General features: G+C 40.0%; 1 long non-coding RNA gene across 2 annotated transcripts in view; it reads left to right on the top strand.

The window, feature by feature from the left end:
- The first annotated feature begins 3,321 nt into the window (after positions 1-3,321).
- Positions 3,322-13,047, top strand: part of LOC105369690 (uncharacterized) — an 18,755-nt gene continuing 9,029 nt past the window's right edge. Inside the window, exon 1 of one of the 2 annotated variants that reach the window (XR_931423.4) lies at positions 3,322-3,463. This is a non-coding gene — a long non-coding RNA (uncharacterized LOC105369690). Of the gene's footprint in view, positions 3,464-7,166; positions 8,323-13,047 lie in introns of those variants that run through there. The other variant, XR_931424.4, reaches the window with a different exon arrangement.

Genomic DNA, 13,047 nt, shown 5'->3' with positions numbered 1-13,047 from the left:
CTGGGTTTCTGCTATAAAATACAAGACATGAAACTTGAAGTAAACTTAAGAAGTAATATATTTATTTCCATAAAATGAGGAAGTAGTACAGAAAGACCCCTTGAGGGCCCATCCAGGTCAGTACCATTTCCACGCCCTGAAATGCCTCCCTCAGGGACACCACCCCTTGGAAACACAGAGAATAAGGAATGCAGTGCAAGTGTATGGAACAGGATAAAGAGATGTGAGGTCACTCCCCAGCCACAGTCATCTACTCTGGCTCTCATAGGTACTTCAGGTTTTCTGCTAAGCAGGCACAAAGGGGTTTCATTTTGAAGAATTATCCCACTATTTTTTACAGTGATGAAGGAAGGATAGGAAGTCCTTTAGAAGGGACTCCAGGAGCTGTACCAAACTCTGAAAATACTGATGATTAAGCCACATGGGGTCATCTCTTCTGAGCCTCCATACAGAAGTGAAGGGTGACAATTAAATAAGAAAAGTGTGACGATAGAGGTCTGCAGATATGAATCTGTGTGTTGGGGGACCCAGGAATGGGGCTCAAAATGAAGCCTCAGAGGCTGCAATAGGTAAGCAATGTTTCCTCAGACACAATAGGTACACCTAATGTACAATTGTTCTGGTGGGCATGTGTCCAGCATGCCCACATAGCCAGCTGGGTCTCATCTTTTGCAAAATATGGCCCTCTGGCCAGGTGGATCAGGCATGAGCAGAGAGACTATGGCTGAACTTGACGGCTCCTTGACAGATCCCTCACCCTCTTTATGGTCCAAAGCTGCCCAGTCTCCAGAGCCACAAAACCAGCCTTAGTTTAATGTTGCCTAGAGGGGTCATAGTCCAACTTTTTTAACTTCATTGGCATTCTTTTCCCAGTTGTACATTCATATCTTTTAGACCATTTCTCAAAGCACATTTTGCAAAATATCAGCATGCTAATTACCTCTGAAGTAATTGTTTAAAATTCCATTTGGGAATTGTTGCTCAAGAACAGTAGTAGTCAACTCCGGCTCCACATGAGAATCACAGGGGAAAAATATTTTTAATAGCAATTATCTGGGCCTCATACCAAAAGACACTGGTTTGATTGGTCTGGGTTATTCTAGGCATCTGAATGTGCTGGAAGCTCCCCACAGTGACTTGAGTGAGTTAGAGTCTCTTCCAACGAACAGGTGTATGTCTGGAGGCAGGTGGGCGGGATGAGGCCACCTGAGGCCTGTTGGTAATCAGGAAGAAAGTCTCCAATGCACACGGAGTACCTATTAAAAAGACTATAGGATGGTTCCTGAGCCTGGATTCCATCCTGCTGTGCTTTCAGAGGGCTGCTCTCTCTCCTTCCTTTCCAGAAAAGGGGGCCTTCACAATTTCATTCCTCTAATAGATTCTCACAATTCAGTGTGCATAAAAGTCATCTGATGGAATTTTACTAACATGCCAATTCCCAGACGTTATCCCAGAAATTTTGATTTAGTAGCACTGGGAAGGTGCTGGAATATATATTTTAGCAATTACTATATGATTTTGATGAAAGTGGTTGAGGGACCATCTTTGAGGAAACACTGCCTAAGCCTTCGCCAAGGTATAATCTGCTACCCTTGGGAATGTTCCCTGTCTTAAATTTTGGATCTAGCACCTAGTGTCTGGCCCTGGGTATAATCATTAACCTTTCTGTGCCTCAATTTCCACACCTGTAAAATAAATGAAATAAAAGTGCTTTATAGAGGTTGTGAGGATTAAAAGAAATTAAGATAGAGGTCATGGTAATGGCCTGAGGTAACCAGGTGATAGATCTGGGTAGCTTAGGGAATACGTGTGTGTGTGTGTGTGTGTGTGTGTGTGTGTGTGTGTTTTGAGACAGTCTTGCTCTGTTACCCAGGCTGGAGTGCAGTGGCACGATCTCGGCTCACTGCAACCTCTGCCTCCGGATTCAAGCGATTCTTGTGCCTCAGACTCCCAAGCAGCTGAGATTAGAGGCGTGCGCCACCATGCCTGGCTAATTGTTTTTGTATTTTTAGTAGAGATGGGGTTTCGTCATGTTGGCCAGGCTGGTCTCACAGCCCTGGCCTTAAGTGATCCACCTGCCTCGGCCTCCCAAAGCGCTGGGATTACAGGCTTGAGCCACCGCACCAGGCTGGGAATACATCTTTCTTTTCGGTTGGCGCTGGTCCTCTAGTAAGGCAGTAGCTTAATCATTTACGTGTCCTCTTTCTATCTCAGCCTTCCCACCACACTTCCCCACTCAAGGCTCACTCCAGACATTGTTAGAAGAAATTTTCCTTCTATCCATGTGATGTGTTGTAAAGAAAGACTAAAAAGTATCCAAATTGTACTTTATAAACAATTTCCTATAGTGGAGATTGATACTCAATGTATGAAGGTCAAATGATGAAGATGTACCATTAAGCCTCATCAGACTCTATTAGTTAATTTCAGTCAGCAAGTGACAACTGCACATTTTAAAACCTAGATCTGTGATGACACCCAGTGGCCAAAATGTCAACCACTGAAATTTTAAAAATACATCAAGTATTTTCATCAGCATACAAATAATATTGCATCAACTTTAAATTTTGAGAGCTATTCAATAACAAAGCATGAAAAGGTTCTACACTGGGAATGTCACCAATGAAATGTGGACAAACCAACTTTCTTTAGTACTGTATTTAGTAGAACTTTCCCAACCAGTTCAGGCAGATAAAAGCACCAGGTTATCAAAGGTGACACATTCCTAAAAAAAAAAAAAAAAAAAAAAAAAAAAAGCTTTTAAACTTGGAAAAAGTAATTTGCATCAGTATATAGCAAAGAACCAATGACCAAATGCAGGAGAGTACAACAGAGATTATTAAGACTTCACACATGGTCCTTTAAATAATTAGAAAATCATTAACATGCTTAGCTTGGCAATTCAGATAACAGTAATTACTTTAGCCAGTACCCATCCCAAAAGGTACAGGATATTTTGGACATTCTTTCACTTGCTCATTCAAAAATATTTCCTGGTGTCCTGGGTTGAGAAGCAGGCTTGGGGAGGGAGATTAATGTCCATGATGTTTGTGAAGGCAGGCTCCTGGGATCGCACTTGTAGATGGAAAACGAAGGAGGAGGATTGTGGAGAGAGAGAGGAGATGGTTCCTATACAGCCTCGGTTGACTCACAGAGAGCGCTGAAGCTAGCCTGGCCTCTCAGCTGTTGTCCATTCTTGGGGTAATGAAGCAGGGCTTTTATCCTCTGCCTCCATCCAGTCACTGGATGTGGGCTACTCCCAGAAAGGGAGTAACCTTAGGTGAGGCAGCGCTGAAGAGGCCTGACAGCTGAGGCTTGTCTACTGACAACACTCCCAGCAGCTGAGGGGGATAAGACCTCCAGGCTCAAGGGTGAGCTCTACGGCCCAACACAGCGTCCACCACACTGACGCAATATGATGCCGACAAAATAAACAGGCTTTTCGATCTTCTGTAACTTGAAGGTAAGTATTAAGCCAATGAACACTTCGATATATACTTAAGGCTGTGAAGGAAGAGAGGGCTTTAAGAGAAGAAAGGGCAGGGGTTGGGGGAAGGAGAGGAGGGCTAACGCCTGGCTGTCTGCTGGTTTCATAATCAGGGCGGAGTGGCAGGAAGGATACAAAAGAGAACTATAACACTTGGACTGGGAATTGTTTACCTTATTCTGTGGGCAGCATGGAGTCACTGAGACTTTTACAAAGGGAACAGAAAGCATAAAGTAGACAAGTAAAGTGGTAGTGGAATAGATTGGATTCGAAGGAAATTAAGCATTTCAAAGTCAACACAGGAATCAAGCATTTTCTTTTGAAGGTCATCTCCAATTTGGTCCTGTGTTTCTGGTCTCATTTCTTACCATTACCTTGTAGATCCTTTCAGGCCTATACAGATAACGACCTCTTCCATTATCTGAACACAAACGTTAACTCCATTTTTTTTGATATTGTCCTTTGACACCAATGAAATTTTCTAGTTTAAGATCCAGCTCAAATTTCACCTCCACTTGAAAAGATTTTTCTGCTTCAAGCCCTTTAAGGGTCTCTCTCTACCCTTATTTTCAGGATAAAGCAAAAATGTCTTAATGTAACTCACAAAAACCAGTACAATCTGGCCTCTGTTTATTCACCTCGCCAGACTCATATCATCCCATTCCCCTATATTTGTTTGCCGAGGTGGTGAGCTTGTGCCTTATTTGGCTTTTTATTAGGTTGGGGCAAAAGTAATTGTGGTTTTTGCCATTAACCACAATCACATTTGCACCAACCTAACAATTTCAGGAAATGTAATAATCTTTGACATGCTAAATGCTATTCATTGTTAAATTGAGAAAAGGTAAACAATCTTCACAAATAAAATTACTTACTTTTGATAGCTCTTCCCCTTCAATGAATCATGGTTTAATACAGAGTATTGGCTGGGTGCAGTGGCTCATGCCTCTGCTCCCAGCTCTTCAGGAGGCCAAGGCGGATGGATGGCTCCAGCACAGGAGTTCAAGACCAGCCTGGTAATGTAGTGAGACCTCATCTCTACAAATAAATACATACATAATAATAAAGAATATTTCTTTTCTAAGTTCACTGATGTACTAAGAAATTTAAGACTTCTGCACTATAATTTGTAGCCAATCATCCCCAGAGCCTTAAATGCTCATGTTAATCATAAATATGATATATGTTTCTTCTATGTGAAATATTTCTTCTAAGTAAAACATTAGTACATTTGCATCTGTAGAATTAGAAGGGACAATTAAAAGGGACAATAGAGATCATCTATTATAAGCGCCTCAGATTATAGTCAAATAAACTGGCTTGTGGGTGTTAAATGTCTTGAAAAGCATACCTTAGCTAGTTCGTGACAATGTTGAAGCTAGAAACTAAGTTCATTTATTGCCAATAATAATAAACATTTAGAGGCCCTACACGAGCCAGGTACTCCTCTAGACATGCTATATATATTATCTCATTGAATCTTCACAATCCTGTGAGGTGATACTGTTATTATCTTCAATTAGAGCAAAGAAGCTTAGCCACGGAAAGGTTGGCTAAACTTGTCCAAATTCCAAAATGCAAAATAATTAGAATAAAAACCCTCAAAAAGATCTTTCTCTTTTCACCTTCTCAAATTTCCAAACCCAGATGTATCAACATATATAATGCATTAAAAATTAAACTCCTTCCATTAGAAAGTAGACTCCATCTTCTGACCCCTTGATCTGAGCTGGATGGTCAGTAACTTGACTCACTTTGACCAGTAAAATTGAGGCTGAAGTAACATTGTGTGACTTCTGGGGAAGTTATCAAAAAGTGTTGCAGCATCCAATCTCACCTTCCAGCTGCTCAGAGACTGTCACGTTAAGACACTTAAACTAGTTTCCTTAAAGTTGAAAGACTGCAAGAAGAGAACAGCCCAGACACCAGTAGATATATGTGAGGGAAATTGACTTGGACTGTTCATCGATTCCCACCATCAACTGACTGCAACCACAGAGTGAGACCATGAAAACAACTCTACTTACCTTAGCCCAAATTGTTGATCCACAGAATTATGAAAAAGTAGTTATTTTTTCAAGTAAACGTGCTTTGAAGCTATTTGTTATATAGTAATTGATAATTGACAGAGCATATGATACTGTCGTTTGATCGATTTACCATGGAATTTCTCTTCCTATCATTTTGTTTTTAACTTTTCTGAGTCTTTAAATTTAAAGTAGGTTTGTGGTAGCCAGCACACAGGTAAGTCTAGTTTTTTTTTTTAATTTAATTCAACCTGACAGTCTCTGGTGTGTTTAGAACATTCATATTTAAAGGGATTATTGATATAGTTGCATTAAAATTTACCATCTTTGTAATTGTTTTCTGTTCATTGCATTTGTTCTTTATTTCTTTCTCCTGCTGTTTTTCTGACTTCTCTGGGGTTAATTAAGCATTTTGTATGATTTGATTTTATATCTTTACTTGGTATATCATATATCTTTTATAAAAAATTTAGTAATATCCCTAGGGTTTACAATATATATTTTAAAATAAGTCCACCTTCAAATAACATTATATAACTTTATAAGACTACTCCCGATTCATTCCTCCCATTCCTTGTGACATTGGTGTCAATTATTTCACTTGTCCATATGCTATAGTCACCCTATACATTGTTACTATTATTACTTTAAATAGCTATCTTTTAGATCAATTAAAAATATTATTTTAATTTCACTTGTTCCTTTTCTAATGCTTTTCTTTGTATAATTTTTGACCTATATCATTTTTTTTTCTCTCTGAAGAATATCTTTAACATTTTTGCAGGGCAGGTCTGCTGGCAATGAAATCCCTCAGTTTTCTCCACAAAAGGCTTTATTTTTCACCGTTGAAGGAAAATTTTGCTGAATATAGAAATATAGGTTGACAGGGTTTGTTTCAGCATTTCAAAGATTTCACCTCACTCTTCTTGCTCACGTGTTTCTGAAGCCAAATCTGATATAATCTGTATCCTTAGTTCTGGTTTGTTTTTTTTTTTTTCTCCTTCTGGCTTCCTTCAAGATTTTCTTTGTCTTTGATTTGCTGCAGTTTGAATATGAAATGCCTGGTTGTAGGATTTTATTTTTAATTGTTTGTTTTGGACTTCTCTGAGCTTCCTGGATTTGTAGTTTGATGATACCGTTATTATCTTCAATTAGAGCCAGGAAGCTTAGCCACAGAAAGGTTGGCTTTGGTGTTTGTCATTAGTTTTGGGAGTTCTTAGCCATGTATTATTTCAAATATTTCTTCTGTCCTGTTCTATTTCTTATGCTTCTGGTATTCAGTTATACCTTTTGATATTGGCCCACAGTTCTTGCATATTGTATTCTTTTTTAAAATTTATTTTCCTTCTGTTTTTCAGTTTGGGAACTTTTAAAATTGAGCAATATTCTGGCCGGGCGCAGTGGCTCACGCCTGTAACCCAGCACTTTGGGAGGCCGAGGCGGGTGGATCACGAGGTCAGGAGTTCGAGACCAGCTGACCAACATGGTGAAACCCCGTCTCTACTAAAAATACAAAAATTAGCCAGGCATGGTGGTGCGTGCCTGTAATCCCAGTTACTTGGGAGGCTGAGGCAGGAGAATCACTTGAACCTGGGAGGTGGAGGTTGCAGTGAGCCAAGATCACGCCACTGCACTCCAGCCTGGGCAACAGAGTGAGACCCCGTTTCAGAAAAAAAAAAAAAAAATTTGACCAATATTCAAGTTTACCTATTCTTTCCTTAGCTATCTCAAGTCTACTGATAAACCACCAAAAGGCATTCCTCATTTCTGCTACTGTTTCTTTGATTTCTAGCATTTCCTTTTGATTCTTTCTCATAGTTTCTGTCTGTATTGACATTATCTATCTGATTTTGCATGTTGTGTACTTTTTTCCATCCCTTTTTTTATTAATCATAGTGTAACTGTGTACCCTCATTTTTCTAAGAGATAGTTTTTTACTATCTTTCTTCTTCTCGCTCTCCTTCTTTTCCCCACTTCCTACTTAGGTCTTTAGAAATGCAGTTATAGCCTTTACCTCCTCTTCACCAGACACTCCCTAGAGGGCAAGTTTATTTAACTAGGTTGTTAGAAGCTCCAGAGTGAAACTCTCCTACCAGGAGGCTGCCTAAAGAAACAACAGTCCATCTACTACCTAAAGTATTTCCACTGTGAAACTCTCTCCCACCTGGAGAATTTTCTGCTGCTTTTACAACCTAGTCTTGTCCACAAAGGGACCAGCAGTTACCAGCTTGACCACCCGGTAGATAAGGCACCGAGGCTAGTATGCAGACCCCCCACCTGCTCACTGACTCCTCTGCATGTCATTCATGCCAGCATGCTGGGCCCCCTTTAAAAGCACCCCACTTTCTGCTCCAAAAGTGAGGTGGTACCCATAAAGACAAGATCCTGCTCCTCTTCCCCTAAGCAAGCTTTGGAATAAAATGTCACTTTCTTTATACCTTGCTCCTGTTAATTGGAGTGACTGGACTTGTGTTTTGGTTACAAAATGTGGAGTGGGGAGTGACTGGACTTGTGTTTTGGTTACAATTTTTGTGGCTCATATGGGGAAGTACTTCATGCCCTGGGTGAGCTAACTTTGTCAGCCCAGTTTCACTACCAGGTGAGGTGTGGGGTCACCTGTGAGTGCCAGCTGCTCATGGCTAGCAGACCCCATAATGGGAACATTAGGAAACTTCCCAGAAGCTGCCAAAAATGAATTTGTTTTGGGGGAAGCTCCCTTTTGCCTCATGGCATGACAACTGCTGCCTTTGGTGCTTCACTGGTACAAGCAAAATGGCCTCTTAAGACGCTGACAAACTTTGAAACTGAGTGAGTAGTTGGAGTGTACCCAAACTGGGTGGCCTTGCCCTATTTAAGACTTGGCTCTTTTGGGGTGTCGCTGGGGCCGTGCTATATATATATTATTTTTTTTTTTGAGATGGAGTCTTGCTCAGCTGCCCAGGCTGGAGTGCAGTGGCCCAGTCTCGGCTCACTGCAACCACCATCTCCCAGGTTCAAGCGATTCTCCCGTCTCAGCCTCCCAAGTAGCTGGGATTACAGGCACCCGCCATCATGCCCCACTAATTTTTGTATTTTAGAAGAGATAGGGTTTCTCCATGTTGATCAGGCTGGTCTTGAACTCCTGACCTCAGGTGATCCGCCCACCTTGGCCTCCCAAAGTGCTGGGATTACAGGCATGAGCCACCGCGCCTGGCCCAAGGCCCTACTGTATTTAAGACCTGGCTGCTAGTGATAGCATTTGAGCATTTTATGCATTTGTATTTATTTGAATATGAAGTTCCATAGGAACTTGGCTCAGACTCAGCTTCCTGTGGAGCCATTTGGAACTGGGGCGGGGGATTCAGGACCTCACCCAGACCCTTGACTGGGGACTCATTTGGAAGCACACCATTTGCATGTGTGAATGAATGACTTTTTGTATGGGCCCTATTGCCTTTCTTTGCTCTCTACCTCCCATTTCACCCTCCTGACTATCTCGGAGAGCTGCCCACCTAGGGTGCTGAGACTCTCCCTGATAAATGAGAAGGGCGGGCCTGGTGCCCCCACACTGTGTAATGGTTGGAAGGTTCCCAAGGTTCCATCTGGTCACTTTACCTTTTTTTTTCTTCTCCTCCTTTCTTTCTCACACCCCACTTGTGAAACCTGGCTCCCATGCCCAGTACGAACTTCACCGGGGCATAGGCCTGGCTCCTGTGCAGGCTGTCTTTCCCTCTCTCTTCTTTTCTCCCTACTTTAAATATGCTGTTACTAAGCTGCTGGTGCTGAGATAGGACTCATGTGGTCTAACTAGAATGTAAACGTTGGAAACTGTTTTGAAACTGAGGGAAGAAAAGATGAGTTTGGGTTTTTTTCTTCTTTTTTATAAGGAAGGGGTTTCTTTTGGAGCCAGGAGCTGTGCAACCACCTGGGGTTAGGGGAGCGGGGATGCCAGAACTCCTTTAGCCGCCCCAGCTGGTGTCTAGTAGGTCACGTGCCCCTCCAGTCCACTGTCCCTTGACCGAGTCCAGCACTAGGACTCTCCTAGGTGTTGAAGTCCTTGTGGCCTCAACTGTCTTTCACGTTTATTTAGAGCCTCAGAACACTTTAGCTCGTGGTGGCAAGGCTTGTAGGAACTCAGGGTCTGACAGTTGGGATCAGTGATTTCCCTCTGGCTAGGGCTGGTTTAAATGCTCCCTCCATAGACAGGCATCAGCTGAATTTGCTCTGATTTTTTTCTTTCTGCTATAACAGGGCAGCACTGAGTTCAATGCCTTACAATTGGAATGCTCTCCCTCCCCCAGGACTCAGAGACACTCTTTGCCCCACACTGCTGCTGCCACAGTGGGTCGGGGCAGGGGGCAAGGGGTGGCATCGGTGATTCAAGAGTGTTTTTTCTACCTGTTCAGTTCCTCTTTCAGTGATACAAAGTTAAAACCAGGTACTGTGAGTGCTCACCTGATGCTAGAGGCTTTAAGGTCATAAAATACTTTTATGAGTTATAATAATAATTTGACTTGCCTGTTTTACAGCTATTGGATTCTAGGTAAGGTCTAGGGACATACTGAGTTAGGTAGGTTCCCTACCTAGGCTGGAAGAGTCAGACAGTTGTCTGCAGCTCTGTCCCTTGTCCTGGGCTTTACAATCCAATATATGGTTAAAATTACTTACTTACCAGATTTTTCACAAAAAATAAAAGTTGCTGAGAGTTAACATTGTAACATGTTAATTGAGACTACTGGAGAAACAGTTTCATACGCAAGATATACAAGGAAAGTAGAATGTGGTTTTGGTAAAAGGTTATAAGAAGGCATATAAGTATGATATGGTTTTTGCTAAAGGGAATGTAATTTTGTCTAATTCCGAGGTTTTTAAGGATTGGCCTAAGCTAAAAGAACGATAGAACAAAACTGAAAATTTAAACAAATTGTGAAAGATTTGTGAGAGATTAATCTTGGAAAAGAAGTTCTACAAGTGTGAGAAAGCTGGCTAAAATTTGAAAGGGATTATTTAGTTTTTCCATAAATCAAACATTAAAATAAAAGCACACTGATGCAGGACCAGAATCTGGGCCCATGTGTCTGAATAATAAGGCTTTCTTAGAAAGTTGATCTGCTCTTTAACACAACATTGTAAAGGATTATAAAAAATTTATGAAAATTTTACCTTATGGTCAAATTAATTAAGATTGGATAGATTTGTTTATAAGGTTTTATTGAAAATTGGGTTTAACATTAATAGTACACTAATGCAAAGGTGAAATTTGGCTTTCTCTTTTGAATAAATTTTTGTGTAATATTAAAAAGTAATAAAAAATGTTTTGTTTGCCTTTTGAATAAATGACAGAAAAAAGAAAGGAAAGAAGAGACAGATTCAGTTGGCCTCATACTGTCTTTATTGGGTTTTATTTGAAAAGCTGTCTATCCTCTATCAATAAGTAAAGATTTTTCCCTTTTACTTATAGTGACATGAGATTTTATTTTGTAATACCAAGTGTTTAAACCTTTGATATTTGATAAACTTTCAAAAGTCAAATTCTAAATTAAGTTCTTTTTTTTTTTTTTAACCTGTTTAACCTTTTCAGATATCAGGTCCCTTAAAGTCTAAAAGAGACATATTTGGCTTATTTGGTATATAAAAACCATACAGGAAACATTGTCAAATATAAAATGGTGTTTACAGTTCTTTGAGTTATAGTCATATAAACATGTTTTGAGCATGTGTTCCAAAATTGTATAAGATTCCTGTAATTCTGATATGTCTTAACATATGTTATCAGTAATAATTATGATTGTTATGCTAAATTACTATGTGCCACATAGCCAGGTTTCCTTGTTGATTGTGTCTTTGTGGCTATTCTGAGAGTTTTGTCATCCATAATTGTTATTTTACTCTGATTCTTTTCAAAGGTGGTTTTATAACCAGCTATAGGACACTGACAGGTGCTCTTGAAGGCAGGTTTCTAATAACTGGAGATTTTGACATTAGAATAAAGAAAAAAAAACTTCCAAAACTCCCATAAAAAGCTAATGCATTTATGCATATCAAACAGAACAGGAATAAATTACATAGACTGAACTAATGGAAGACTGAAATAATCTTTATGACACTTTGTTTGAAACACTGCTAATTCTTTGATTTTTCAGAGTCCAAAAATCCTTTTTCCTTTTGAGCTATTTACAGCTTTTAATAGTTGAGTAAAGTACAGTCCTCTGAGCAAAATTCGGAGAATTTTTCTTTGTTTTTACCTGATTTCTCCAGAATTTGAAAACTATTTGTAAGTATACTTAATTTATGGCAGTATAGTTATCTGCATATGTTCAAGAAGAATCTGTTTTCTTCTGTGAAAGGACACCATTGGAGACACCAGTTATTTTACCAAGGCTTTGACTGAAAGGGCATACTTCCAGGTATAAATAGACTGCTTTAAGGAATCAAAGTTGACTTATACAGCCAATTAAAGCCTCTTGGAAAAAAACTGGCCTCATACCTTGTCCATGCAGTCCCTGCACAGGATTTCCTGACCTGTAGTAAGTAAGAATGTCACTTTGTGACACGCCCAAGAGCCCCAAATTATCTTGAGACCTCAAGAAGAGGAATTCACCCAATTCATACAAGTATTTGCAAGTACAGATGAGTCTGTGGCTGTGCTCAAGGTTTTAAAAGGTCAATTTAAGATTTCTTATAAGTAAAAATTTCAGCAAAGCCAGTTTTAAAAGGAGCCAATATGACAAATAATTATTCTTGCTGCACTTTCTGCAAATAATCAGGCCAAGTATAATAAGACTAAAACTTATTTTGCAAATAAATTTGTCCTATTATGATTTGTCTTTAGTATAACAGGAACTGGAGAGAGAAAAAATTATATTTCAGAAAAAACTATAGTACACCTGTTGTTTGATTCTAGTTTTGTCCTTTGTTTTAGAGTTTTTATTATTTTCTGCAATTTGGACTAAATCCTGAATTCTTTCTGGGTTACAGGTCCCTAAACGAATGCTTTCAAATTCCTTTTCCATTTTTTTTTTAAGACAAACTCTCACTTTGTTACCCAGGCTGGAGTAACAAAGTGATCTTTGGCGTGATCTTGGCTCACTGCAAACTCTACCTCCCAGGTTCAAGCAATTCTCCTACCTCAACCTCCTGAGTAGCTGGGACAACAGGTGAGCACCAACGTACCTAGCTAACTTTTGTATTTTTAGTAGAGACAGAGTTTCACCATGTTGGCCAGGCTGGTCTTGAACTCCTGACCTCAAGTGATCCACCTGCCTCAGCCTCCCAAATTGCTGGGATTACAGGTGTAAGACTGTGCCTGGCCTTCCATTTTTCTGATTTGGACTTGGTGAAATCACTACTACCTTATTCCTCGTAATACAGGAGAGAAAAATATGTCAGCCTGCTACCGCCCTCCTCTGTAACTAAAGATGCTTTGAGTCTATCATCTAGATAAATTGTGCCCAACATTAACCTTTGTTTTTCTTCTGTTTCTATAGAAATGCCTCTTATTAAAAATATATTTGCCTTCATCACATACAGAGGACTAACCCATCTGCAATGCCA

This window comes from Homo sapiens, chromosome 12 (assembly GCF_000001405.40).
Source record: "Homo sapiens chromosome 12, GRCh38.p14 Primary Assembly".
NCBI classification, from domain to species: domain Eukaryota; kingdom Metazoa; phylum Chordata; class Mammalia; order Primates; family Hominidae; genus Homo; species Homo sapiens.
This window is presented reverse-complemented; position numbering and strand designations above follow the sequence as displayed.